The sequence below is a fragment of the Homo sapiens genome, chromosome 22 (genome assembly GCF_000001405.40).
Source record: "Homo sapiens chromosome 22, GRCh38.p14 Primary Assembly".
Classification (NCBI taxonomy): Eukaryota; Metazoa; Chordata; class Mammalia; order Primates; family Hominidae; genus Homo; species Homo sapiens.
This window is the reverse complement of record NC_000022.11, coordinates 22,178,065-22,204,834: the sequence shown is the minus strand read 5'-3', so window position 1 is coordinate 22,204,834 and position 26,770 is coordinate 22,178,065. Positions and strand designations below refer to the sequence as shown.

At 46.0% G+C, this 26,770-nt stretch overlaps 5 pseudogenes, 2 gene segments (V, D, J or C) and 1 further gene, besides 4 other annotated features; all 8 read right to left on the bottom strand.

The window, feature by feature from the left end:
* Window positions 1-26,770, bottom strand: part of IGL (immunoglobulin lambda locus) — an 896,838-nt gene that overhangs the window by 718,079 nt on the left and 151,989 nt on the right.
* LOC100419915 (OTU deubiquitinase 1 pseudogene) lies at window positions 678-1,786 on the bottom strand (annotated as a pseudogene).
* Window positions 2,674-3,160, bottom strand: IGLV11-55 (immunoglobulin lambda variable 11-55 (non-functional)). The segment is given in 2 exon segments: window positions 2,674-2,996; window positions 3,115-3,160. Coding segments are annotated over 2 exon segments (369 nt in total).
* Window positions 3,386-3,680: a silencer, noted in NCBI's record as "tiled region #1853; K562 Repressive DNase unmatched - State 25:Art". NCBI's record gives its function as "represses a minimal TATA promoter and a strong SV40 promoter by Sharpr-MPRA in K562 cells {active_cell/tissue: K562}" and the evidence as "EXISTENCE:reporter gene assay evidence [ECO:0000049][PMID:27701403]".
* Window positions 3,386-4,304: a biological region, named in NCBI's record as "Sharpr-MPRA regulatory region 1853".
* Window positions 3,495-4,304: an enhancer, noted in NCBI's record as "H3K4me1 hESC enhancer chr22:22554925-22555734 (GRCh37/hg19 assembly coordinates)". NCBI's record gives its function as "activates a minimal SCP1, AML or CMV promoter by ChIP-STARR-seq in naive H9 embryonic stem cells {active_cell/tissue: H9 hESC(naive)}" and the evidence as "EXISTENCE:reporter gene assay evidence [ECO:0000049][PMID:30033119]".
* On the bottom strand, window positions 5,816-6,111 carry IGLVI-56 (immunoglobulin lambda variable (I)-56 (pseudogene); annotated as a pseudogene). The gene is given in 1 exon segment: window positions 5,816-6,111. A coding segment is annotated over 1 exon segment (296 nt).
* On the bottom strand, window positions 8,559-9,036 carry IGLV6-57 (immunoglobulin lambda variable 6-57). The segment is given in 2 exon segments: window positions 8,559-8,865; window positions 8,991-9,036. Coding segments are annotated over 2 exon segments (353 nt in total).
* Window positions 9,267-9,326: a silencer, noted in NCBI's record as "silent region_13523". NCBI's record gives its function as "represses an Ori minimal core promoter by ATAC-STARR-seq in GM12878 lymphoblastoid cells {active_cell/tissue: GM12878}" and the evidence as "EXISTENCE:reporter gene assay evidence [ECO:0000049][PMID:35858748]".
* On the bottom strand, window positions 17,719-19,365 carry BMP6P1 (bone morphogenetic protein 6 pseudogene 1; annotated as a pseudogene).
* IGLVV-58 (immunoglobulin lambda variable (V)-58 (pseudogene)) lies at window positions 21,945-22,252 on the bottom strand (annotated as a pseudogene). The gene is given in 1 exon segment: window positions 21,945-22,252. A coding segment is annotated over 1 exon segment (308 nt).
* On the bottom strand, window positions 25,347-25,670 carry IGLVIV-59 (immunoglobulin lambda variable (IV)-59 (pseudogene); annotated as a pseudogene). The gene is given in 1 exon segment: window positions 25,347-25,670. A coding segment is annotated over 1 exon segment (324 nt).

Sequence of the window (26,770 nt, the reverse complement as noted above, 5' to 3'; positions counted from 1 at the left end):
AATTTTATATAAAACACTTCTCTTAATTTCTGCCTGAAAGCTGCTTGTCAAAAGTAATGTACTGTCATAGATGAAGGTACACCATTTTTTAATGTTGTGTAAAAATACACTTTTGTAGAAAATAGACTACCAGGAATGAACAGATTTACACTGTGAGAAATTAGCTTTCAAATTAAGCAGTGCTCACTTAAACAGAAAATTACAGATGCAGTAAAATCACCCAAAACTATCATGCAACATCATTTAGGCGCCCAGCAACTTTTAGTTCCGAGAAAACATTTTAAAAGATGATTATGGCGTTACACTCACAGAAAAGCTATTAGGAAGTGCCAGCTGCGGTGGCTCACGCCTGTAATCCCAGCGCTGTAGGAGGCCGAGGCGGGTGGATCACGAGGTCAGGAGATTGAGACCATCCTGGCTAACACCGTGAAACCCCGTCTCTACTAAAAATACAAAAAATTAGCCGGGCGTGGTGGTGGGCACCCGTGGTCCCAGCTACTCGGGAGGCTGAGGCAGGGGAATGGCGTGAACCCAGGAGGCGGAGCTTGCAGTGAGCCGAGGTCGCGCCACTGCACTCCAGCCTGGGCAACACTGCGAAACTCCATCTCAAAAAAAAAAAAAAAAAAAAAAAGGAAAGAAAAGCTGTTAGGAACTTTACAAGTGTTATTACCCTGATTAGAGTTCATGTCATTCTCCAAGCACAAGTTCTGTATGCAATTTTCCCAGGGTGTAAGGTTTTCAGACATTTCAAGGGTAGGCATTTTATTCAGAATATGTGGCCCCAGAGTGAGCAAGTTATTCATTGCGTTGCCTTTTGCTTTTGAGTCTGTTTGCACCAGTTGTCGTACTTGGTTAGGATAGGAGTGATCAAATACTGCATCCTAGTGCCCGTTACTGAGCCAACTGAGCCAAATACTAGGCTTTAGGCAATCCTCTGGGCCCAAATAATGAATCATGGTAGATAGACACTGTGGGCCTCTCCAGCCTCCCTCTAGTAGTTCAGTGCTATTCACATTCAGCATCTACCCTATGTACACAGGGTACCCAGCCACGCCCCGTTTTGGGCAGCCGCGATAATAAGCTTCCCCGTGTCACCCTCACCCAGGGAGCTAAAGTGGTGGAGACGATCGGGATGGGGCGCACCCTCCGCTCCGCAGCTCCTGGTGCAGGCTCGGGTCTAGCACTGGGTCTTGCTGACAGCACCGTAGAGGCCGTTGCCATGGGGAATGATGTGGAATCGGTGCTGATTCTTCTGCGTAAGCCCATGTCCTGCTTCTCGCCTGGGCCAGGTGCAAGGCTAGCTTCTCCTGTGATCCGACCTGGAGAGAACCACCTTGCTGGCGCCGCTCTGGGCAGCCTCGCTGCTGCTGGTCTGGTCGGGGAACCTCAGCCTCTGGGTGGGGCCTTAGTGCAGCGTCTTCACCTGCATCTTCGCCGTGTCTTCTCTCTCTCCCAGCCCCGCAGGCTCATCTCCGCCATGTGCTCTTCTCCTGGTGGACCCTGGCGAGGATCCGGGCTCCCCGGGGGTGATGCAGCCTCCATCCTGGGTGGCGGCCTGGGTTTGGCGCTGCTTGCTCAGGGGGAAGTTTCTATCAGGCCCCTCCCGAGCTGCCGCTAAGCCGCGGGCTCCATGCAGGGTAGTCGGGCGCAGCAGCTCCTCCAGGAGCCAGGTGGAGGAGCCCTGCCAAGGCAGGCGGGACTGGGCCATGCACCAGGAGCCTTGCAGCTCCCAGACCCATGCAGAGATCCACATGGATCATCTCTGTCAAGTTAAAGAGATAAAACAAAACTAAACTAACAAAACCAAAAAAAAAAAAAAAAAAAAAAGAGGTCGGGCACGGTGGTTCACGCCTGTAATCCCAGCACTTTGGGAGGCCGAGGACGGCGGATCCCGAAGTCAGGAGTTCCAGACCAGCCTGACCAACATGGTGAAACCCCGTCTCTACTAAAAAATACAAAAAATTTAGCCAGGCATGGTGGCGCACGCCTGTATCCCAGCTACTCAGGAGGCTGAGGCAGGAGAATCGTTTGAACCAGGGAGGCTTAGGTTGCAGTGAGCCCAGCTCACTGCACTGCACTCCAGCCTCGCTGACAGCAAGACTCTGCCTCAAAAAAAAAAAGGAAAGAAAAGCAATCTTAAAAATAAAACAATAACAAACAGTGAGAGTCATCCTGCAGAGCTGCCAGGGCTGTTCACCTATTCAACCCATGGTAACCATTTATTCTAGAGGCAGGGCAGAATTGCTGGCTACTGGTGGGAAGACGGTAATGTCTGCTGACATTTTATTTCATATATTATACATATACATGATACATAATTTTATATATACATGATACATAATTTTATACAACTCTTGTATATAGTGGTATTATGTATTATGCCATCTGGATGTATTTCAGCTGTTTCACAACTCTTTTACTAGTGGAAATTGGTTAGTAATGTTAGTATTTCTTAGTATTGGTATAAGTTTTTGTGTTTTGATTTTAGCTGCTTAGAGTCACTATGGGCATTATGTGAAAAAAATGGGAGAGAGTTATAATGTGCCACCATTTTTAACAACAATCCAGTATTTAATGTGATTTTATTAACCACTGAAGTTCTTAACCAGTTCAGTAAAAATGACAAGCTTAAAACCTTGGTTTTTGTCCGACTTCCTCATCTGTCTCACTGTGATTAGCACTACTTTCGTACACCTGGCAGTAATAATCGGCCTCGTCCTCAGGCTGGAGCCCAGAGATGAGCAAAAACGCTGTGTTACTTGAGGTCTCCTTGGAGCCAGAGACTCGACTGGGGACCCCAGGTCCCAGCTGCTTGTCTGAGTCTGAGTAGTGATACAGGAATAACCTGGGAGAGCTCCCTAGCTTCTGCTGGTACCAGAACATGTTTTTACCACCAACACTGAGGTCACTGCTCAGGGTGCAGGGGAGTCTGGCTGTTGCTCCCGGGGATGCAGACAGGGAGGGCGGCTGAGTCAGCACGGGCCGGGAGAGGGAACCTGCAGACACAGACACAGCACAGTGAGGAGCAGGGTCAGGGCGCAGCTGCTGAGGGATCTGAGCCATGAGGGACAGATCAGGCTGGGGACCACCCTGGGCTCTGAGCCCTGTCCCTACCTGTGCAGTGAGAGAGGAGCAGGAGGAGGAGAGGAGTCAGGGCCATAGTGGACACAGCTGCCTCTGAGGCCACAGACCTAGGGGTGGGCTGCCCCAGGCCTCTCTTATCCCAGCGTCACTGGGCTCACAGAGGAGGGGCTGACCATGCAAATGTGTTTCCCCATTGCCTCTCCCGCAGGTGCACTCGCAGGGACCAGACCCTTGGACAGGGAGGCTGGCATGAAGCAAGAGTTTGCCCCACGGGTGGGACCAGAGAAAGCAGCAGCTGCTGGGACCACACACAGGGTCATGTGTAGAGGACTCTGCCAGGCACAGATGAGACAAGGCTGCAGAGTCCCAGGAGGAAGTGAAGGAGCAGCCCTGGGCCTCTGTCAGTTGAGGGCTCCCCAGCTGTGAGCACCTGTCCTGCAGAAATACACAGAGAAGTTCTCACCGCGCCCCCTGCTGGTCTGCAGGCAAATTTCTCCTTTTGCAATGATCCAGAATCTTCCCTCTGCTTTGTTTCTGTAACTCTTGTCTTTCAAACATGCAGGAAGAATTCCTACAGGGATCAGTGGAGCTGTGGTCTTGGTGCCACCCCTGACCCCGGGCCTCCCTCTGTGGGGCAGGGGCCAGCAGGGGTGGACTGCATGTAATCTTGGTCCAGGAAAGCATGTGACCTGCCCTGGAGCTGAGGACACAATGCCAGGGTGGAGCACCAAGACGATCTCTTCACCAGGAGGCTCTTACTCAGGATGCTGCTGTGACTAGGAGTTCACCAAGGGGAAACACACCATGCAAGATCTCAGGCCCTTCCTGAGGAAGGTGCTGGGAGGAGACACTGAGGCAGACACTGAGGTGGGGGCTGCAGGAGCATATGGAGGGTGGAGGGGGCTATGGGCCCAGGTGTGCAGCAGGGAGGATGCACAGGGCCCTCAGGCTGATTCTCCTCCATCTGCTGGCTAGAGGGCTTGACCGCGGCTGTGCCTGTCATCAGCTCTCCTATTAGAGACTCAGCTCTGGGGAAGTTCCAGGACAAGTTCTAGAACCTGAGACAGGAGATTGGGCAGGGGACATTCCTGGGAGGCTGGAGAAACAGGATGGCAGAGAAATTAGGGAAGGGGAGGAGTGGCAGGTGTCTCTGAGGTAGGACACATGGACAGGGATCACTGAACCCCAGGCTGTCAGAGAGCAGGAGATGGCCCAGAGTGTGTGGTGGGTAGAGGCCGACTCTGAGGGAAGCCTTGATGCCATCACTGCCACAGGCGGGGCGGGTGGAAGGGCAGGGCTGAAAGCTATGGTAGGCTTGGTGTACATCTGTCCCACTGTGACCATGGCATGACAGTGTAGAAACAAGTTAGCTCAATTCAGAGGCAATAACAGCTGCAGGGACTCATTTTCCTCCTGGGTAAAGAAAAATGCAGGTCTTAAAATAACCATGTGACAGGAGACTCAGGTTGCGTTGTTATTCATTCATTCATTCATTCATTCATTTATTGACCCATTTCCCATTTAGAAAAAAAAAAGTGCAGCTCGTTGCCAGCACTCATTTCTTGGGCAAATGGGAAATGGGTTCAACACATATTTAAGGAAGGGCTGGCATGGATCAGACACTGGAGATGCAACAGGGCCAGGGACAGGACCCAGATCATGGAGCAGGAGATACTGGGAAGAAGAAGAGGATAAAGATGGCTCCAGAGGACATCCCCAGTCTGAGGATTTCATGGTGTTCCCCAGAGGAGTCGATGGCTAAGAGCCAAGGTCTTCCACAGACCCTCTCTCCACAGCATGCAGCTCAGGGTATATAAGGGTCTCAGTGGCTGCAGGGCCTGTTGGGGGAAAGCCCTGAGACACCTAAGCTTTGACTTCACATGGGGCTCAGGTAGATGAGCCAGGGAAGGAAGGCACTACCCCTGTCCTGAGGGGGAATGCAGCAGCAGTGCTGGTGGCGGCTATGGAAGTGTCCCACTCAGATGCCTCTTTGGGAGAACCTGCAGGAGGACCACAAGTGACTAACATGTCCCCTGCCCCTGGGCTGGCTCCAGGCAATGAGGACCCCAGGGTCCCTCCAGCCAGGTCTTCCTGCAGGAAGCAGGGCACTTCTAATGGGCACCCCTGGGAAAGAACCCACTCAGTCGGCTGAGGCTTTGTCTGACGTCTGACCTGCCTGTGGGCTGGGGCAGTTCCTACTAATCCCCCTTCCTTCTCTCCTTTCGTGGGGGTCAGAGCCGTGGCCTGAAGCCCACCCACCCCCCATGCCAAGTCCTTCCCGGTTTCTCTTTCACCAGTGTTTCTACCCTCCAAAAAAGACATTACTTTTTTTCTTTAATTATTATAGAATCTACTTATCAAAGGGGCCAAACTAAAAAAAAAAAAGACTTCTATTTTAGAGAGAACATCCCATCCATGGCACTGTGAGAGGCACTACTGTGCCATGAGTAGCCTCATCCTCAAGCTTGAGACCAAAGATATGGAAAACCTCAGCACTGGCGACGGCACCCACTCACACGGAGAAGAGGCTGGGGACCCTGAGCCCTGGTTCTGCTTGAATCTCAGTAGAATCTCAGTAGATACCAGGGAGGGAAGGCTCCCTGCCCTGTCATGTTTCCAGTAAATGTCATAGCAAACAACATTGATGTTACTGCTCAGGGTGCAGGTGAGTCTGAATGATGATCCCAGAGATGCACAGAAGGAGTCACAGAGCATCCAGATAATCAGAGAATAATCAGCGAGGCTGCCATTCTGTGCTAAATAGTGAAAATCAGCACCGTCGCCAGCCTGGAGCCCAGAGATGGCCAGGGAGGCCAAACTGCCTAACATGGGGCTGGGAAATTCCCTGAGGTCCCTGAGGGATGGTTGTTACCCCCTCTGGGTCTGAGGTTTGGGGACATGTCCCAGGTGCTCCTGAATCCAAGCTGTGCCTTGATTGACAGTATTATGGCTGTTTCCAGGGTGGGTGATTGTAATTGTCAGTCCCGGAGGCTTGGTCAGTGAAAGAGGCTGTCAGTGCCATGTGGACCACAGACCCAGGAGGGTGGAGAGAAAGAGAAAACAATGAGCCCTGTGAGAAAGGGAGTGGAGCAGAGGTGGGCTGAGGACCGCATAGACCCTTCTCCCCAGAGCAGGATGTGCCTCAGCTGGGCAGGGAGGGAAGAGGTCAAAAAGCAGAGGGGCCAAGCCATGGTGCAGGTGCTCAAGAGATCTGCACCCTAAGACTCCAGCAGTAACAGTGAATGTTCCTAACGCTCTTTTAGTCTCTACAGGTCTCACTGGGAGAGAATTTCCTACATTCAAATATGTCCCTGCACCCGGATCACCTCCAGGACCCCTCAGCCATAGGCAATGTCTCTCTTGTCTGGAGGAAGAAGAGGAGGATGAGGAGTTGACCTGAACCAGGCCCCACAGGGTGAGAGAGCCTGATCCTAGACTGAGTGTCCCTGAAGGTCCTGACAGCTGCAGTCACTTCCCATCTCAGCTCAGTGAGCTCACTGTGTGCTCAGCTCCCCTCAACCTCCTGAGGGCCTTCCCAGCTGGCAGGGCCAGACATGCTCACCCCCTGAGACAGCCTCACAGGTCCCCTGCTGACCCCGTGTCCCTTGACATCACCAGGACACAGCCCTGCTGACTCACTGAGGGTCTCACAGGTGTGGCCTTGATTGTGCTGTTCACGCCCCAGATGCTGGCGCTCAGGGAGGAGATGGGGAAGCCAGGCGGACTGTTCTTAGAGACTGCAGGAAATGACCTGAGGAGGAGGTAAGCGAGCAAGCACAGTGTTTTTTTGTTTTGTTTTGTTTTTTGAGATGGAGTCTCGCTCTGTCAGCCAGGCTCTGGAGTGCAGTGGCGCAAACTCAGCTCACTGCAAGCTCCGCCTCCCTGGTTCACGCCATTCTCCTGCCTCAGCCTCCCGAGTAGCTGGGACTACAGGTGCCTGCCACCACGCCTGGATAATTTTTTTGTATTTTTAGTAGAGACAGGGTTTCACTGTGTTAGCCAGGATGGTCTCGATCTCCTGATCTCGTGATCCACCAGCCTCAGCCTCCCAAAGTGCTGGGATTACAGGCGTGAGCCACCGCGCCTGGCCCACAGTGTTCTTATTCATATTTAATTTTACAAAACAAAACAAGAAGTATTCTTAAAGACCTCATCTGCACCTGATACACTTCTCCACCTAGGATTCCGCAAAGCATCGCCTCTGTTCGTGGAGGCATTTCCAGCTTATTTTTGAAGTAGATCACTTTCTATCCAATTCTGAAATCATCCTTTTCACCTAAATTATCACAAGGTTTGAGGATAATCTCGATCTTCTCAGCCTCCATGAATTTACGTATCATGGACATTTGTTATAAATACAGTCATTTCTAGACATTTCATTTCTAGATATTTGCATTTGTTCCTTTCACTGAGCATAATTTTTCAAGGTCCGTTCATATGGAGCTCATTTCAGCACTTCCACCTTTCAATGGCTGAGTCACATGACCTTAGAAGGAAGAAGGCTCTATTATATTTCCATGTGCATTGTACAAAAGTGCAAAGCAGGGGTGTCCCATCTTTTGATTTCCCTGGGCCACAATGGAAGAAGAATTGTCTCGGAACACACATAAAACTGATACTAACTGTTAGTATCAATAGCTGGTGAGCTATAGAAAATTGCAGAAAAATCATAATGTTTTATGAAAGTTTACAAATTTGTGTTGGGCCACATTCAAAGCCTTTCTGGGCTGCATGCAGCCTGCGGGCTGTGGGTTGGAGATTGATGGAAGGCATTGTGTGCTGTCCTAGTCAGAGCTAAACTCTGTGTTACAGGATCTGGTTAGGGCTTCTACACCTCTAAGTAGCACAATCTCTGACTTCTTGTTGCTTGGAAAAACCATTCAACCATCAAAACATTGAAGTTTGGTGTTATTGTTTTGTCTCATAGATGGGAACCAGAAACAAAAATTAGAAAACCAGCCTCATGCTCAGCAGAATGGCATAAACACATTTCAAAGCCAAGCTTCTTAGTAGCTGAAGACATGCTCTTTAACTGAGTATCTCAACCTGGGCTGATTTTGTCCCCAAGCATGGGACATGTGGCAGTGTCTCAAGACAGTCTTGTTGTCACAAATGAGGGGAGGGTGTTAATAGTATCTAAGGGTAGAGGCCAGAGATGCAAGTCAATAACTTATACTGTGCAAGGCAGCCCCAACCAGAACATCAATCATGGTGTGGCTCAGAGACCCGATTATAAACTACATTTATCCCACAATTGATCGTGCACATATCAGAAAATCAGCCATCAAGGTGTGGAAAAACAGATTGGTATTTTGAAAAGGAAAAGAGGAAGTCATAAGCAAAGTTCACCTCAAGCACTTAGACAGGAGAGATGGGAGAGCTACCCTCTCCGGTGGAGACAGGCTGAGACTGGCCCAGGTAGAGATGCTCTGGGGAGTTTCTGTCTCACTTCCCCATGGGTCTGGAGCACTGTGTGATTGCTGCTATCATAAGACTGACAGTAGTAGTCAGCCTCGTCCTCAGTCTTCAGTCCAGAGATGGTGAGGGAGGCAGAGTTGGAGGAGCTGTCGATGGAGCCAGAGAACCGATCAGGGACCCCAGAGGGTCTTTGGTTATCCTCATAGATCACAGTGGTGGGGGCACTGCCCGGGCGCTGCTGGTACCACTGCACATAGTTGCTGGCAATGCTGCCACTGCTGCCGGTGCAGGAGATGGTTACCGTCTTCCCCGGAGACTCCGACACAGAGTGGGGCTGAGTCAGCATAAAATTGGCCCAAGAACCTGCAAGAAGAGAGCAACACAGAGATCAGTGGGGAGAGATGAAGACTGGTTCCCAGGCAGGAGGAACAGATCATCAGCCCAGGTGACATCCAGGAACGCTCCCTGAATTCCTTGCAGGCAGCCACCTGTGCAGTGAGCGAGGAGGGTGAGAAGTAGTGGAGCCCAGGCCATAGTGGAGATGCTCCAGGCTCTGCTTCCTGAGCTACCACCAGGACTGATCCCACCAGCCCTTCTTATCTGTCACGCGTATCCTCAGAGTGGTAGGGCTCCATGCAAATTTCTCCCTTTCTGGAGGTTGCACAACCCCCTCCTTTGACCTCAGACAAGGTTATGGCTGAAAAGTGGTCATAGAAGGGGGAGGAGCAACACCATCTGGAGGGCACAGAAACACCAGCAGGTGGAGGGAAAACAGCAGAGGATCTGGGGAGCTCTGATTAGTTGCTTAGACCACAGCGCCCTCTGGTGGATGTGGGAGTCATGTCCACCCTGGGCAGGTGCAGGTGCAGGTACAGGTGCTCAGGGCCCCTGACCTGTCCTTCCATCCTGCACTGCTCCCAACTCCAGCCACTGTCCAGGGGGCCTCTGCTCAGCATCCTATGCTCACTGTACATTTAAACTTTGAAATATGTTCAGATAGGCCAAGACTCAGTACTCTGGTTAAGACATTCTCTTTGACTTTGTGTTATTGGAGATCGGGAATATCAGCAAGAATGGGCTCTGCCTTCTGGAGGGGCCACATAGGGTGAGGTTGGGAACCCTTCACTGCTAGGTCTAGCCCTCTGAGCACGAAGAGGGAGGAACCCTGGGATCAGGGGCCAGATTTCACCATCAGGGACACCAGGAGTTTTTTTTCAGGCCTCTCACTTCTGAGCAGACTGATTGCTCGCCCTGCTGGGCTGTGATAACTATGGTTTGTGCTTCTCTAGTTAACAGTGTTAAGTGTCTTCTCTAATGCGTGGATTTTAGTTTCATAGTTACTTGTTCTTGAGTCTCTCCAGAGAGGTATTTTTAAATTTTTCATTTATTTTATTTGTATTTATATTTAGTTTGATTTTATGACTTCTATTTTTTCTGAGAATTTATCCTTTTTCATTTGTTTCAAGAATGCCTGAAATTGCTCATCAACAGGATTTTATGGTGGCTGATTTCAATATATCTGTCAGGTAATTTCAGCCCTAAATCATCTCAGCGTTGATGTCTGGATTGCCTTTTCTCATTCAAATGGTGAATTTTTCTACTTCTTGATATAACAAGTGTTTCTTTGAATTGTATCCTAGATATTTTGAATATTATATTATGAGACTATCTTGAGGATTTTCAATAGATCTGAAACAGTGTCTGCTTTTGGTTTGTTGGTTTCCTCTACTATTTTTTGTGTTGTCATTCTCAGGAGAAATGGGTCCCAGTCTCCTTTGGAAGTGTTTAGTTTCAAGGTTTTCAATCAGTCTAATCATATTGGAAATGCATCTTCCAGCAGGCTTTCTATTGGCTAAGATATTCCTGAGGCCTTATGTCTCTCTCATCCTCTATCTTAATCTTCCTCTATAAAGTTAGTCAAATATGTTTCAGTGTTGCTGACACCTTGGGGAAGGGGAAATGCACTTTTGATCTGAAGTGGCATCTTTCACCAAATCAGTTACTCACATGCCTAGTGACCCCCATTATACACTTCTCTGGAAAGCTATAGGGCTGAAGGATGAGCTGCATGAATTCTCAACATCCTCACAAACCTCATCTTCCCCAAGCCTGCCCCCAGTGCTGCGAACAGTTTCTTGCCTTTACAGGTGAAATAACTTCATGTCTTCTTTGAGGGTGACTGATGCAGGCTCCTCCCTCCAGCAGTGAGACAAGTGCAGAATCTGAGCCCATGACTGGGAATGTAAAGGAACAGGGTGTCCCACTGACTCAGTCCTGTAAACTGTGTCCCCTAGGTGCAGTGAAGGGATCAGGGCTGAGGGTGCCTGTAGAGCAGCACTGCCAGGCTAGGGGGCTGACTCTTTTTATTATTATTATTATACTTTAAGTTCCGGGGTACATGTGCACAATGTGCAGGTTTGTTACATACGTATACATGTGCCATGTTGGTGTGCTGCACCCATTAACTCGTCATTTACATTAATCTCCTAATGCTATCCCTCCCCCCTACCCCCACCCCACGACAGGCCCTAGTGTGTGATGTTCCCCACCCTGTGTCCAAGTGTTCTCATTGTTCAATTCCCACCTATGAGTGATAACATGTGGTGTTTGGTTTTCTGTCCTTGCGATAGTTTGCTCAGAATGATGGTTTCCAGCTTCATCCATGTCCCTGCAAAGGACATGAACTCATCCTTTTTTATGGCTGCATAGTATTCCGTGGTATATATGTGCCACATTTTCTTAATCCAGTCTATCATTGATGGACATTTGGGTTGGTTCCAAGTCTTTGCTATTGTGAATAGTGCCGCAATAAACATAAGTGTGCATGTGTCTTTATAGAAGCATGATTTATAATCCTTTGGGTGTATACCCAGTAATGGGATGGCTGGGTCAAATGGTATTTCTAGTTCTAGATCGCTGAGGAATTGCCACACTGTCTTCCACAATGCTTGAACTAGTTTACAGTCCCACCAACAGTGTAACAGTGTTCCTATTTCTCCACATCCTCTCCAGCACCTGTTGTTTCCTGACTTTTTAATGATCGCCATTCTAACTGGTGTGGGATGGTATCTCATTGTGGTTTTGATTTGCATTTCTCTGACGGCCAGTGATGATGAGCATTTTTTCACGTGTCTGTTGGCTGCACAAATGTCTTCTTTTGAGAAGTGTCTGTTCATATCCTTCGCCCACTTGTTGATGGGGTTGTTTTTTTCTTGTAAATTTGTTTGAGTTCTTTGTAGATTCTGGATATTAGCCCTTTGTCAGATGAGTAGATTGCAAACATTTTCTCCCATTCTGTAGGTTGCCTGTTCTCTCTGATGGTAGTTTCTTTTGCTGTGCAGAAGCTCTTTAGTTTAATTAGATCCCATTTGTCAATTTTGGCTTTGGTTGCCATTGCTTTTGGTGTTTTAGACATGAAGTCCTTGCCCATGCCTATGTCCTGAACGGTATTGCCTAGGTTTTCTTCTAGAGTTTTTATGGTTTTAGGTCTAACGTTTAAGTCTTTAACCCATCTTGAATTAATTTTTGTATAAGGTGTAAAGAAGGGATCCAGTTTCAGCTTTCTACATGTGGCTAGCCAGTTTTCCCAGCACCATTTGTTAAATATGGAATCCTTTCCCCATTTCTTGTTTTTGTCAGGTTTGTCAAAGATCAGATAGTTGTAGATGCATGGTATTATTTCTGAGGGCTCTGTTCTGTTCCACTGGTTTATATCTCTGTTTTGGTACCAGTACCATGCTGTTTTGGTTACTATAGCCTTGTAGTATAATTTGAAGTCAGGTAGCATGATGCCTCTAGCTTTGTTCTTTTGGCTTAGGATTGACTTGGCAATGCAGGCTCTTTTTTGGTTCCATATGAACTTTAAAGCAGTTTTTTCCAATTCTGTGAAGAAAGTCATTGGTAGCTTGATTGGGATGGCATTGAATCTATAAATTGCCTTGGGGAGTATGGCCATTTTCACGGTATTGATTCTTCCTATCCATGAGCATGGAATGTTCTCCCATTTGTTTGTATCCTCTTTTATTTTGTTGAGCAGTGGTTTGTAGTTCTCCTTGAAGAGGTCCTTCACATCCCTTGTAAGTTGGATTCCTAGGTATTTTATTCTCTTTGAAGCAATTGTGAATGGGAGTTCACTCATGATTTGGCTCTCTGTTTGTCTGTTATTGGTGTATAGGAATGCTTGTGATTTTTGCACGTTGATTTTGTATCCTGAGACTTTGCTGAAGTTGTTTATCACCTTAAGGAGATTTTGGGCTGAGATAATGGGGTTTTCTAAATATACAATCATGTCATCTGCAAACAGGGACAATTTGACTTCTTCTTTTCCTAATTGAATACTCTTTATTTCTTTCTCCTGCCTGATTGCCCTGGCCAGAACTTCCAACACTATGTTGAACAGGAGTGGTGAGAGAGGGCATCCCTGTCTTGTGCCAGTTTTCAAAGGGAATGCTTCCAGTTTTTGCCTATTCAGTATGATACTTTGGCTGTGGGTTTGTCATAAATAGCTCTTATTATTTTGAGATACGTCTCATCAATACCTAATTTATTGAGAGTTTTTAGCATGAAGGACTGTTGAATTTTGTCAAAGGCCTTTTCTGTATCTATTGAGATAATCATGTGGTTTTTGTCTTTGGTTCTGTTTATATGCTGGATTACGTTTATTGATTTGCATATGTTGAACCAGCCTTGCATCCCAGGGATGAAGCCCACTTGATCATGGTGGATAAGCTTTTTGATGTGCTGCTGGATTCAGTTTGCTAGTATTTTATTGAGGATTTTTGCATAGATGTTCATCAGGGATATTGGTCTAAAATTCTCTTTTTATGTTGTGTCTCTGCCAGGCTTTGGTATAAGGATGATGCTGGCCTCATAAAATGAGTTAGAGAGGATTCCCTCTTTTTCTATTGATTGGAATAGTTTCAGAAGGAATGGTACCAGCTCCTCCTTCTACCTCTGGTAGAATTCGGCTGTGAATCCATCTGGTCCTGGACTTTTGGTTGGTAAGCTATTAATTGTTGTCTCAATTTCAGATCCTGTTATTGGTCTATTCAGAGATTCAACTTCTTCCTGGTTTAGTCTTGGGAGGGTGTATGTGTCGAGGAATTTATCCATTTCTTCCAGATTTTCTAGTTTATTTGCATAGAGGTGTTTATAGTATTCTCTGACGGTAGTCTGTATTTCTGTGGGATCAGTGGTGATCTCCCCTTTATCATTTTTTATTGTGTCTATTTGATTCTTCTCTCTTGTCTTCTTTATTAGTCTTGCTAGCAGTCTATCAATTTTGTTGATCATTTCAAAAAACTGGCTCCTGGATTCATTGATTTTTCGAAGGGTTTTTTATGTCTCTATCTCCTTCAGTTCTGCTCTGATCTTAGTCATTTCTTGCCTTCTGCTAGCTTTTGAATGTGTTTGCTCTTGCTTCTCTAGTTCTTTTAATTGTGATGTAAGGGTATTAATTTTAGATCTTTCCTGCTTTCTCTTGTGGGCATTTAGCGCTATAAATTTCCCTCTACACACTGCTTTAAATGTGTCCCAGAGATTTTGGTATGTTGTGTCTTTGTTCTCATTGGTTTCAAAGAACATCTTTATTTCTACCTTCATTTCTTTATGTACCCAGTAGTCATTCAGGAGCAGGTTGTTCAGTTTCCATGTAGTTGAGCAGTTTTGAGTGAGTTTCTTAATCCTGAGTTCTAGTTTGATTGCACTGTGGTCTGAGAGATAGTTTGTTATAATTTCTGTTCTTTTACATTTGCTGAGGAGTGCTCTACTTCCAACTATGTGGTCAATTTGAGAATAAGTGTGATGTGGTGCTGATAATGTATATTCTGTTGATTTAGGTTGGAGAGTTCTGTAGATGTCTATTAGGTCTGCTTGGTGCAGAGCTGAGTTCAATTCCTGGATATCCTTAACTTTCTGTCTTGTTGATCTGTCTAATGTCGACAGTGGGGTGTTAAAGCCTTCCATTATTATTGTGTGGGAGTCTAAGTCTCTTTGTAGGTCACTCATGACTTGCTTTATGAATCTGGGTGCTTCTGTATTGGGTGCATATATATTTAGGATAGTTAGCTCTTCTTGTTGAATTGCTCCCTTTACCATTATGTAACAGCCTTGTCTCTTTTGATCTTTGTTGGTTTAAAGACTGTTTTATCAAAGACTAGGATTGCAACCCCTGCCTTTTTTTGCTTTCCATTTGCTTGGTAGATCTTCCTCCATCCCTTTATTTTGAGCCTATGTATGTCTCTGCACGTGAGATGGGTTTCCTGAATATAGCACACTGATGGGTCTTGACTCTTTATCCAATTTGCCAGTCTGTGTCTTTTAATTGGAGAATTTAGCCCATTTACATTTAAGGTTAATATTCTTATGTGTGAATTTGATCCTGTCATGATGTTAGCTTGTTATTTTGCTCGTTAGTTGATGTAGTTTCTTCCTAGCCTCGATGGTCTTTACAATTTGGCATGTTTTTGCAGTGGCTGGTACCGGTTGTTCCTTTCCATGTTTAGTGCTTCCTTCAGGAGCTCTTCTAGGGCAGGCCTGGTGGTTACAAAATCTCTCAGCATTTGTTTGTCTGTAAAGGATTTTATTTCTCCTTCACTTATGAAGCTTAGTTTGGCTGGATATGAAATTCTGGGTTGAAAATTCTTTTCTTTAAGAATATTGAATTTTGGCCCCCACTCTCTTCTGGCTTGCAGAGTTTCTGCCGAGAGATCAGCTGTTAGTCTGATGGGCTCCCCTTTGTGGGTAACCTGACCTTGCTCTCTGGCTGCCCTTAACATTTTTTCCTTCATTTCAACTCTGGTGAATTTGAAAATTATGTGTCTTGGAGTTGCTCTTCTCGAGGAGTATCTTTGTGGCATTCTCTGTATTTCCTGAATTTGAATGTTGGCCTGCCTTGCTAGGTTGGGGAAGTTCTCCTGGATAATATCATGCAGAGTGTTTTCCAACTTGGTTCCATTCTCCCCATCACTTTCAGGTACACCAATCAGATGTAGATTTGCTCTTTTCACATAGTCCCATACTTCTTGGAGGCTTTGTTCATTTCTTTTTATTCTTTTTTCTCTAAACTTCTCTTCTCTCTTCATTTCATTCATTTGATCTTCAATCACTGATACCCTTTCTCCAGCTGATCAAATCGGCTACAGAAGCTTGTGCATTCGTCACGTAGTTCTCGTGCCATGGTTTTCAGCTCCTTCAGATCCTTTAAGGACTTCTCTACATTGGTTATTCTAGTTAGCCATTTGTCTAATATTTTTTCAAGATTTTTTAACTTCTTTGTGATGGGTTCAAACTTCCTCCTTTAGCTCGGAGAAGTTTGATTGTCTGAAGCCTTCTTCTCTCAACTCCTCAAAGTCATCCTCTGTCCAGCTTAGTTCCATTGCTGGTGAGGAGCTGCATTCCTTTGGAGGAGGAGAGGCACTCTGATTTTTAGAATTTTCAGTTTTTCTGCTCTGTTTTTTCCCCATCTTTGTGGTTTTATCTACCTTTGGTCTTTGATGATGGTGACATACAGATGGGTTTTTGGTGTGGATGTCCTTTCTGTTTGTTAGTTTTCCTTCTAACAGTCAGGACCTTCAGCTGCAGGTCTGTTGGAGTTTGCCAGAGGTCCACTCCAGACCCTGTTTGCCTGGGCATCAGCAGCGGAGGCTGCAGAACAGCGAATATTGCTGAACAGCAAATGTTGCTGTCTGATCATTCCTCTGGAAGTTTCATCTCAGAGGGGTATCTGGCCATGTGAGGTGTCAGTCTGCCCCTACTGGGGGGTGCCTCCCAGTTAGGCTACTCATGGGTCAGGGACCCACTTGAGGCAGTCTGTCCATTCTCAGATCTCAAGCTACATGCTGGGAGAATCACTACTCTCCTCAAAGCTGTCAGACAGGGACATTTAAGTCTGCAGAGGTTTCTGCTGCCTTTTGTTTGGCTATGCCCTGCCCCCAGAGGTGGAGTCTACAGAGGCAGGCAGGCCTTCTCGAGCTGTGGTGGGCTCCACCCAGTTCGAGCTTCCTGGCCACTCTGTTTACCTACTCAAGCCTCAGCAATGGTGGGCGCCCCTCCCCCAGCCTCACTGCCACCTTGTAGTTTGATCTCAGACTGCTGTGCTAGCAATGAGTGAGGCTCCGTAGGCGTGGGACCCTCTGAGCCAGGTGCGGGATATAAACTCCTGGTGTGCCGTTTGCTAAGACCATTGGAAAAGCGCAGTATTAGGGTGAGAGTGACCCGATTTTCCAGGTGCCATCTGTCACCACTTCCCTTGGCTAGGAAAGGGAATTCCCTGACCCCTTGCACTTCCCAGGTGAGGCGATGCCTCATCCTGCTTCGGCTCACACTCAGTGCACTGCACCCACTGTCCTGCACCCACTGTCCAACAAGCCCCAGTGAGATGAACCCGGTACCTCAGTTGGAAATGCAGAAATCACCCATCTTCTGCGTCACTCACGCTGGGAGCTGTAGACTGGAGCTGTTCCTATTTGGCCATCTTGGAACCATCTCCTGGTACTTTCTAAATAAACACTTAAAGAAAATGTCTGGTATTTCCTTCAATGTTACAGCAAAACAGATATAAAATAAATTATACTTCATATTTACAAAAAAACCATTACTGCAGTTATAGATTATAAAACTATCATTTAATCAGTTTAGTATGAAATTGCTTTCCCAGTACATGTTGGTGAAAAAGATATTTTAAAAATATTCTAAAATTTAATCTGAGCCTTCCTTTCTACAAGAGAAAATCATAATTTCCATTCATAAATGGCACACTCATCCCCCTAAAGCCATTCTTAAAGGTGGGGCACCCTTTCCCATTTTATTTCCTTTGTTGGTTCTAACCCAATCACGTGGTATGCTCTGTAGTAAAAAGACAAAGCACCGCTTTCCTGAAATAGATATTAGAGTCGGCAGTCCTCAAGTTAATGTGCTGGTCAAAAAGTCATTCCAATAAAGAAGAGGTGCAGCATTGCTTTCACATGTTACACAGTTACCATGGAGCCTGTCACAAATGCTTTCCACTCCTCTAAGCCTCACTTCAAAGTTTAATCAGTCTACTTTGGGTACTAGCAAAGAATACAGCAAATGGAGGACTGAGATGTGAAAATGATATGGTTTGTTTTGACTGAAATAAGTATATTTTCACACCAACAGAACTCCAGCACAAACTCATAACAGCAAAGACTGAGACAGAGGCATCCCCAAGGAGCCCGGGCTATGGCCTGGACTGTGGATCCAGTATAAAATTTGCCTTCCTGGGAATGAAATCTGTGAATAGAGGAGTTATTCCTACTTCCCCAACTTTCACTATCTGTAAAATGTACCTTTGATAGACACTAATAAACCAGCTGATACTTTACCCAAGAATACATTTAACTCCATTGAGATTATTTTCCCTATTTACTCACTAATAACCCAAATAGCTTGAACTATAGCTAAAATTAAATTTGGTGGGCTTGGGGGGTACCTTTTAAGTTTAAGTTTCTGTAGTTACCAGACAACCAAACTCAGCTTAGTACAGACCAACAACTACTCATGTTACTTACCAAGTGAGCAAATTATTAGCAAGGTCCGTTAAAATTTTTCTCGGGCAGTAAGGCATCAGCATGAGATGGTTTCAAAGTCTTATCCCTCCACCTCCACTGTGCTTCTGTATGTTTTTTAAGGCAGCTATGACCAAGGAATCCAAGGCAGAATGTGTGTCCCCAGCATCTGGTTTCAAGTTAGCAATATCCACAAGCTCTTACAACCATATTTCTGTATTTTTTTCAAGGTGATTTTGGAATTGTCATTGAAGTAAAGAACCAAAATGGCATTGAGTTTAGTTGGCACACAGCACAGCTTTGGGACATATTCAGGATCTATAAGGTGAACCAAGGTCTGAATGATCACATGGTTGATTGCATTCACATGTCCATTGATTGGGAAGGAGCATTCTACATCACAGTAATTAGCAGCATAGCCCTTGGGTGCGATGAACCAGTCCTGCCATCCAGGTCTTGGAAGCTCACATATAGCTCATGCTTCCTGCAGGCTGTTTTTAATTTGCTGCTGATGTAATCTGAAGTACTGGAGACTTGAGCCACGTAGTGGGACTGGGTAAAGTGAGTACAACTCTGCTGTCAACGCCAGCCAGAGGCTGACCTGGTGATGCACACATGGACCACAATGACTTTGAAGAAAGCCACCATGAAGGGCTGCATAGCCTAAGTGCTGTCTCTGCCCACCAGGTCTGCAGCTAGAGGGTGGATGTGGACTCCATCCTCTGTCACTACGCTCAGCTGAAGCCCCATGTTATGCTGTGGGGTTACAACCCACAGACTACTAGTGGCTGTGATGTCAAATTCCAGCCAGCTTCCTTCTGAGGCCCACACTATGCAAATGTCCAAAAAAAATAGGTCAGAGTTTAGTTCTGGAAGCTGGAAGGTCCAAAATCAAAGTACAAGCAGATACTTCGGTGTTTGGTAAGGATGTGCTTACTGGTTCATAGACTGCCATCTTCTCACTGCGAGCTCACATGGTGGAAGGACTGAAACTTACTATGTGTGTATTGGAACATTTGATTGGTGTCACATCGTCTCTCAGGTTGTGCAGACTGTTTGTCATTTTTTTCTATTCTTGGAACAGAATAATTATCAATTTATCTGTCTTTAATTCAATGATCCTTTCTTCTATACCTCTTTATTAGTATTCTCTATTGTTATTATTATTATATTATTATTAGAGACAGACTCTTGCTCTGTCCCCCAGGATGGAGTGCATTGACATGATCTTTGCTCTTGCAACTTCTGCCTCCCAAGCTCCAGAAATCCTCCCACCTCAGCCTCCTGAGTAGCTGGTACTACTGGCATGCACCACCATGCCCAGCTAGCTTTTTTGTATTTCCTGTAGAGACATGGTTTGGCCATGTTACCCAGGCTAGCCTCAAACTCCTGGGCTCAAGAGATCTGTCTGCCTTGGCCTCACAAAGTTCTGTGATTGCAGGTGTGAGGCACTGCACCCCGCCAATGTTCTCTCTGTAATGAGGCATTCTTTCCGTACTTTCCTTAACAATTGTTAACGTTGTTTTATTTATTTATTTGACCACATTTACAAAAGCTAATTTGAAGTTTTTATGTAGTAACCACCAAATGCATCTCTGGACATCATTTTGTCAACTTATTTTTAATGTTGTTTGTTTGTTTTTATGTTTTGCTTTGCTTTCCTTTTTAACCCTGTGTATGGACAGTACTTTGCTGTGTCCCTGCCTCAAAATTTCACTTTGCCAAATGGAGCTTCTCAGTCACACAATGTGACGATTCTGGAAATCAGATTCTTTCCTTAAAATATTTGTCATAATTGCTTCTGGTTTTGTTGTAGTTGTTATTGTTGATGATGATTTATTGTTTCACGGTACTGGAATAATTCTCTAAGTCTGTTTTCTTTGCTTGTGCAGCCACTGCAGTCTCTGCTCAATTATATCAGTCATTAGCTTATTATTGGACAGACATGTTCTTAAACGCCTCGAACAACACATTCCTCAGCATTTGCCGAATGCTCTGTGCAGGGGTTGGGTCATGACTGCAAAACCCCGCCACTTTACAACTCTATTTTAGCCTTCCTTGTTGATTTCAGCCAGTGTCGAAAATTAAGGACTTTCCTAATTTTTACCTGGCCATGCACATAACTCTGAGCATGAGAGTGATCTTCTGTCTTTCCAGGAATATGGCAGAGCTCATCAAAATCTTCTACAGATTCTGACACCCAGTTTTTTTCTCTCAAGGTTTTTGGTCAGCCTTTTATTGACCCCATCTTGTATCACTGACTCAGGACCTTAACAGATCTCACTGATTGTTTTGATAAATGTATTGAGGATGAAGCTGTTTAAACCAAGCGAGCTCTGAGACAATTCACATTTAGAAAAGTACAGAGCGTGAAGCTTTTCTGAGCTTTGGAAAGCTCAAATAATGACAGTCGCACGGGAATGGGGCTTTTGAGAAAATTCCAGATCTGGTATTTGGTTGCTTCAGTGAATGCTATTTTTCTAGTTTCCCTAGATCCAGGAGATTTGAGGCTGTTGGTTTTTAAGGCTACTGTGGAACTTGGGAGAGAGCAAAAGAAATAAAATCACCACAAAGCTTCAGATTCTTACAGAGATTCCACATTATTTTAATTGATTGATTGATTGATTCAGACAGGGTATTGCTTTATGACTCAGGCTGAAGTAGAGTGGCACAATCACAGCCCACTGCAGCCTCCACCTCCCAGACTCAAGTGATCCTCCACCTTCAGCCTCCCCAGTAGCTGCAACTACACCCACACACCACCACATATAGCTACTTTTTTAAAATGTTTTTTAGAGAAGAGGCCTCACTCTGTTGCCCAGTCTGATCACAAAATCCCAGGAGTGATAAAGCAATCGCTCTGCTTCAGCTCCCAATGTGTTGGGATTATAGGCATGAGCCACCATGTCTGGCTGTTATTACTATTTTTTATGATTCCCAGAATTTTGTAAGCTTTTGGTAATGTACAGAGTTCTGAAAAGTAGATTTATATCATTTTTACTGCTGTTCTCATTGCTTGTATGGTGAATCAGGTTTTCTGATGGCCTCATACCACCATTCCAGAAGTTTTTCTGAAGCTACATTTTTTTTTTGGAGAAAAAAGTTAAGAAATAAAATTCTGACATTTAGGATCAGGGCTGTCAGGATGACATTAATGATTATTTATATCCTTCTTCTTTGTTAGATTATTGCAAATCAGTTGTCATGTTCAATGTGGTGGAGGCAGTTTCTCCTCATTTTCTCCTAATCCCAAAACCCACGCACTGAACAACTGAGAAAACCTTTATAAACCACCAAAAATTTTAAATCTTTTTATTTCACTGTCTATAAATTTTCATTATTTCCATCGCTGTGTATCAACAGTGTGATTTCTAGCATTTTGTTAGAATTCAAAATTTTCTTAAGAAGTTATATCTTATGGGTGATTGTTAAAATGAAACTTGATGTGGCAGGGGTGTGCCATGCAGCAGAGTTCCAGTGTTTAAATCCACAGGGAAAAATGTCCTTGCAGTTCCCATGTGGTGACAATGTATCGACATGCAGGGGGTGACAGGATCTGCCTTAATATTGGCCACATTAATACAGACTTGTGTACTCCTTAGGAGCTTGGCCTAGCAAACTTGTTCCTAAGGAACCCAAAGCAAAAAATCTATCTAGCTATCTAGGTATCTGTCTATCTAGCATCTAGCTAGCTATCTGCCTATCTATCTGTCTAGCTAGCTAGCTAGCTAGCTATCTGCCTATCTGTCTAGCTAGCTATCTATCTAGCTAGCTATCTGCCTATCTATCTATCTATCTTTCTTGAGTAGTAAGGAAAACAGGCACTGTTTCTCAGGGCCACGTGGCAGCCTTCATAGTGGAGCAGAGAAAACAGTTTTTGTCCTGCTTCCTCATTCACTGGGGTCACTTTGCCTTACCCATATGTCACACCAATGCTATGATCTGCACCACAGATACAATCAGCTTCATCCTCAAACTGGATGTTGGAGATGGTGACCTACCGATCAGCCCCATAGCTGGATCCTGAGAACTGTAACTGGGGATCCCATTTTTGTGGCTTCCATCACTGGTAACATACATCAAGTACCAAGGGACCTTCCCTGGCTACTGCTGATGCCACTCAATAATGTAGGTGCTGTATTTGCTGCTCAGAGTGGAGGTAAGCTTGACCGAGGCTCCCACAGGGAGGCAGATGCAGTGGGTGACTGAGTCAGCACAGGCTGGGAGAGGGACCCTGAAGACATAGACGCCCATTATGGCCTGAAGTAAGGATAAGAGGGAAGGACATTCCTGGTATGAGTTTGTGAGGCAGTGTGAGTGAGCTGCAGGATCAGGGTGCTAAGGGCCATCCTGACCTCTGCAGTGGTGGAGGAGGAGGGTGAGGAGGAGGAAGAGTGGGGTCCAGGCCATGGTGCAAACACCCCAGAGCTCTGCTGAGGCTGACATGATGCAGGTCCCTCTTATCCATCCGGTAGTCCCAGAAGAGAGAGAGGGGCCCTTCATGCAAACTTGTCTCTCTTCTGCCCAACCGTACCCCTCCCTGGGGCTGTATGCAGCGGCAATGGCTGTGTCATTTCTGGGAGGGGTGGGCCTAACTTGGGCCTGGCCTGAGGCTCCCCAGGAGCCCACAGAGGATCCAGCCTGGCCTGAGGCTCCCCAGGAGCCCACAGAGGATCCAGCTACTTGGCCCAGTGATCTCTGAGCACAGACCACACAGGGTTCTGGTTTCCCAGCTGACAGCCCCACAGAGGGCTCAGCAGCAGGGCCACAGCATCCCCTGCTGCTCAAGTCCAGGTCCACCGTGTCTCTGACCAGATGCCGGGGTCCTGACAGAGCCTCCTGTCCCCACCAGGGTCTTGAACACTGCTCACTCCCTGACCAAGGGCAGGGCAAGGCCCGTCCTCAGGGCAGCCTCCTACCTCACCTCAGCCTTTAGTTTTCTGTGTGTGTCTCCTCAATGGGAACTGGACACACAATTCTCCCCATCTTTTATGGAGTCCTCAGGGGAAGATTGTCTCTGTATACACCCTGTGCATGAAATAAAACATGTTAGCTGAGAAAAGGGACACTTCAGCCATGAACTCATTTCTCAGGCAGCTCACAAAGTCAGGTTCTTTCTCCCTGCTTGATTCCTCAGATCCGCACAAAGGAGACCTACTGGTCAATGTTTAACAGGATAATTTATTTGGATTGGATGGTTCACTGCATTCTCTGGTAGCTGAGGAGAAACCCAGGAAGTAGCGGAAGGTGCTAGTGGGGTTGGGAAAGAGAAGCAGTGGACTCAGGGCATCTCCTGAAGGGAAGGTGAGGAGGGTCCACAATTTAGAAGAGGCTGAAGGAGAAGCTGGTGGGGAGATTGGACAGGAGCCAGAGGGCAGGGCAGGTAAGGGGGAGGCTTGGTGTCTTTTTGCTTTCATTTGTTTGTTTTGTGAAGAAAGAGGAGCCTCCTCAGTCTTCTCGGCTGTCCTCTCTGGTTGTCTGCCTGCCTCAACTGGAAGTCTTTCTTCATGAAAATTCTGTAGTTCTCTCCGCGAAAGATGTTTCTTTGCTTCCTGTCTACAAATGGCTTTCCTTCTTATTTTCCCCCATTCTTACTAATTTTGTGATACAGAAACACATATGTGGATTTGTAGGAGAAGGGATCTTTAGAAGTGTAGAATCTCAGTCCTCATCCTAGACCCCTGAGTCCACATTTTCCAGGAGCCCAGATGATCTGTGTGCACGTTATGTTTGAGCAGCTCTGGTCTGACCCATGCAGGAAGGCAGTGGAGAGTTTGGCAATGGGTTGTTTCTGATGCCTCAGTCTATTCTGCTTTCTGCTGACATGGCTCACTCCCTGTGTCCCATGTTGTGCCTGATGTGCCAGGTCTGCTGTTCTTGAGGCTTCCCATGGACCATGGCAGCATCCCCCCTGAGCTTACTCATCCGCACACATGACCAGGAGTGCGTGATTAATAAAGTGATCTTCTCACTTCACATATTAATGTTAGTGAACAAGTGAAATGATATAATAGCTACAATTTTGCATTACTACTTATAACTTTAATAATATTGACCATTGATGACATATTTATATATCTTTAATATAGATGCATATCTCATATTAAGCTTAAATGATAATCAGTCATAAAGGTTAGAAAAATAAGCACAAATATAATGGAGATAGGTCCATAGGCTGTAGACCTAACAGAAATGAGAGGTATTCAGTGATATCTTCAACAAAGGCTCATGGAAGCAAAAATAAGTCAGATGTGTGGAATTAAACAGAGAAAAGTGAGCATGTGCTGGTTCTGGGAACCATCTCCTTCTTGGGGAGGGTTTTCTTCTGCAACTATGAAGACAGAACCCATGTAGTTCAAGGTTCCAGAGCTTAAGGAATGACAAGCAAACCTGGGCCAGGAGGAGGGGACATCTATGAGGCCAATCAGAGGGCACCTGGGTCTCTGGGCCACATAGCCTGGATTTTTTCTTTTTGTCATCCTTACTTTACACTCATGTGTGTGAGCAGCGTTTTCTATTTCTGGAAACAAACTGATTCTGTCTGAACTAGGAGACCAGTAAGAGAAGGAGTTATTTTCTTTAATAGCACAAGTGACAAAACAAAATTCAACCTGAGCTGGTGTTGGTCACCGGCAGGGGCAGGACAGGGATATGTAAGAAGAGAGGGATGGGGATAGATTTTCATTTCGCTTCCCCATGGGCAGGAGCTGTTGATGACAAGGAGGTTGTAGTCACCTGTGTGATGGGATCATCAGCCTCTATCTTGCACTGGAGTCCAAAGGTGGTTAATGAAATGTAGTGGCCTTGCCCCTTTCCTGATCCTCACCTACCCCCTATGCTTACTCTCCCCTCCCTGATTTCACAATTGAAGTGGCAGGTACCCACAAGTGAAGCAGGCCAGCTCTGTACCTGGGATTCCTCCCAGGATCGTGTCTTCTGTAGGGGACTGTCCACCTGCTGGGATGGTCTAGGAAATTTTGACCAAGAAAAAGACTCCAAAAGACTGTCATCTTTTCTTTTAAAAGAAAAGTCAGCTCCTCAGGTTTTATTAAACCAGCTCCTCTGGTTTTATTACATGTGGTTCAGCAGGGAAAGAGTCAGTGTTATCATATGTTTTGTCATATGTTTTATCATTGTTTTGTTGTTAGTTTGCCTGAGGACTCAGAAACATTGAATGGGACATTGAGAGAACCATTGTGAATCAGTAGCTACTTCCAAAATAGTTTGTGTATGTGAAAATTATTTGACAATTGGAAAAAGAGCCATAGTTCCATTCTTAGTAGGCTGAGTTTCGTCTCACTTTCTCATCTGCCTGTGTAACTGAAGTATCAATATCCCAGGTCTGACAGTAATAGATAGAACAGATAGTCTTGTCCTCTGGCTGGACCCCAGAGATGAGCAAATTGCCTGCACTGGCCAAGGCATCTTTGGATTTAGAGAAGCAGCTGGAGACTCCAGAGCCCTAGTTTTACTTGACTTTTGAGAGGTAGATCAGGAGATACTGGGAAGGGCTCACTGGCTTTTGCTGACAGCGGGATATGAGATAAATGTCAACACTGCAGCCACTGCTCAGGGTGCAGGTGAGTCTGGAAGATGCTCCCAGAGATACAGGAAGTGGGGGGGAGGACACAGCTGAGTCAGCACAAGCTGGGAGAGGGAATTTGTAAACACAGACACAAATAAGAGACAGGGTTAAGATGAGGATGAAATTTGTCATGGGTTCCTGAGCCTGAGGGACTGATGCAGGCTGAAAACTGAGTCCTGATCTCCGAGGCCTGTCCTTACCTGTGCAGTGAGAGAGGAGCATAAGGAGAAGAGAAGTTCAGGCCAGCAGTGAAAGAGGATCAGGAGGAGGAGAGAAGTTCTGGCCATGGTGGACACAGCCCCTGACCACCACAGTGAGCCTGAGCTGCCCCAGGCCTCCTTTTCTTCCCAACCCCCAGCAGAGGAGGGGCTGCTCATGCAAATGTGTTTCTATGCAGGGACTGCCCAGTCCCTTCCTGAGCCCTGGGGCTGGAGCCCAGCTCACACTGCAGACTGAGGAAGATGATTTGCTTTCCCTCCTTGGAAGGGCCCTAGGAGATATCACCTGCTGAGACCATACACAGGTCCCTGTTCAGCAGACTCTGCCAGACCAGAGAAGACAGCTGCCGAGTCCCCATCAATGAGCACAAGGCCCAGCCCCTAGACCTAGGCTCCTTGGAATGAATGGTTCTTAAAGAGCAGCTGTGCAGACACCACAGGCAAGTCCCACAGTGCAGCCTGCTGATAGCAGGACACTCACCTCCCCATGGCTCAGAGACCAGAGAGCCCAGCTGATCTCTGCAGCTCACCAGGACACTATTCCTCTGTATACACATCTGTGTCCTGAATCCTATATCCTGTGATGATGACGTGGTCTACTAGATGCCTAGCCAGTATCTCACTCCTGTAAGTAGTCTTGATCTATGAGAGGAGCAAATATGTTCGTTTATAACTGTTTAAAAATTTTATAACCTTTTAAGGTGCCAGTGCCCCAAGAGTACATTCTAGAAAAAGCTAAATGACCTGCATACGTCACTATGGCACCACCACAGATGCTGAAACAGTTGTGCTGACTTGAGTGGCATGAAGGGGTTGTTCAAGGCAATGACATAGAAGGGGACTGTTTCAGGAATCACCTCAGTGATAGATTTAACATCCAGCAATTCAGAAAACATTTCCTTTTTTTTTTTTTTTGAGACGGAGTCTCACTCAGTCGC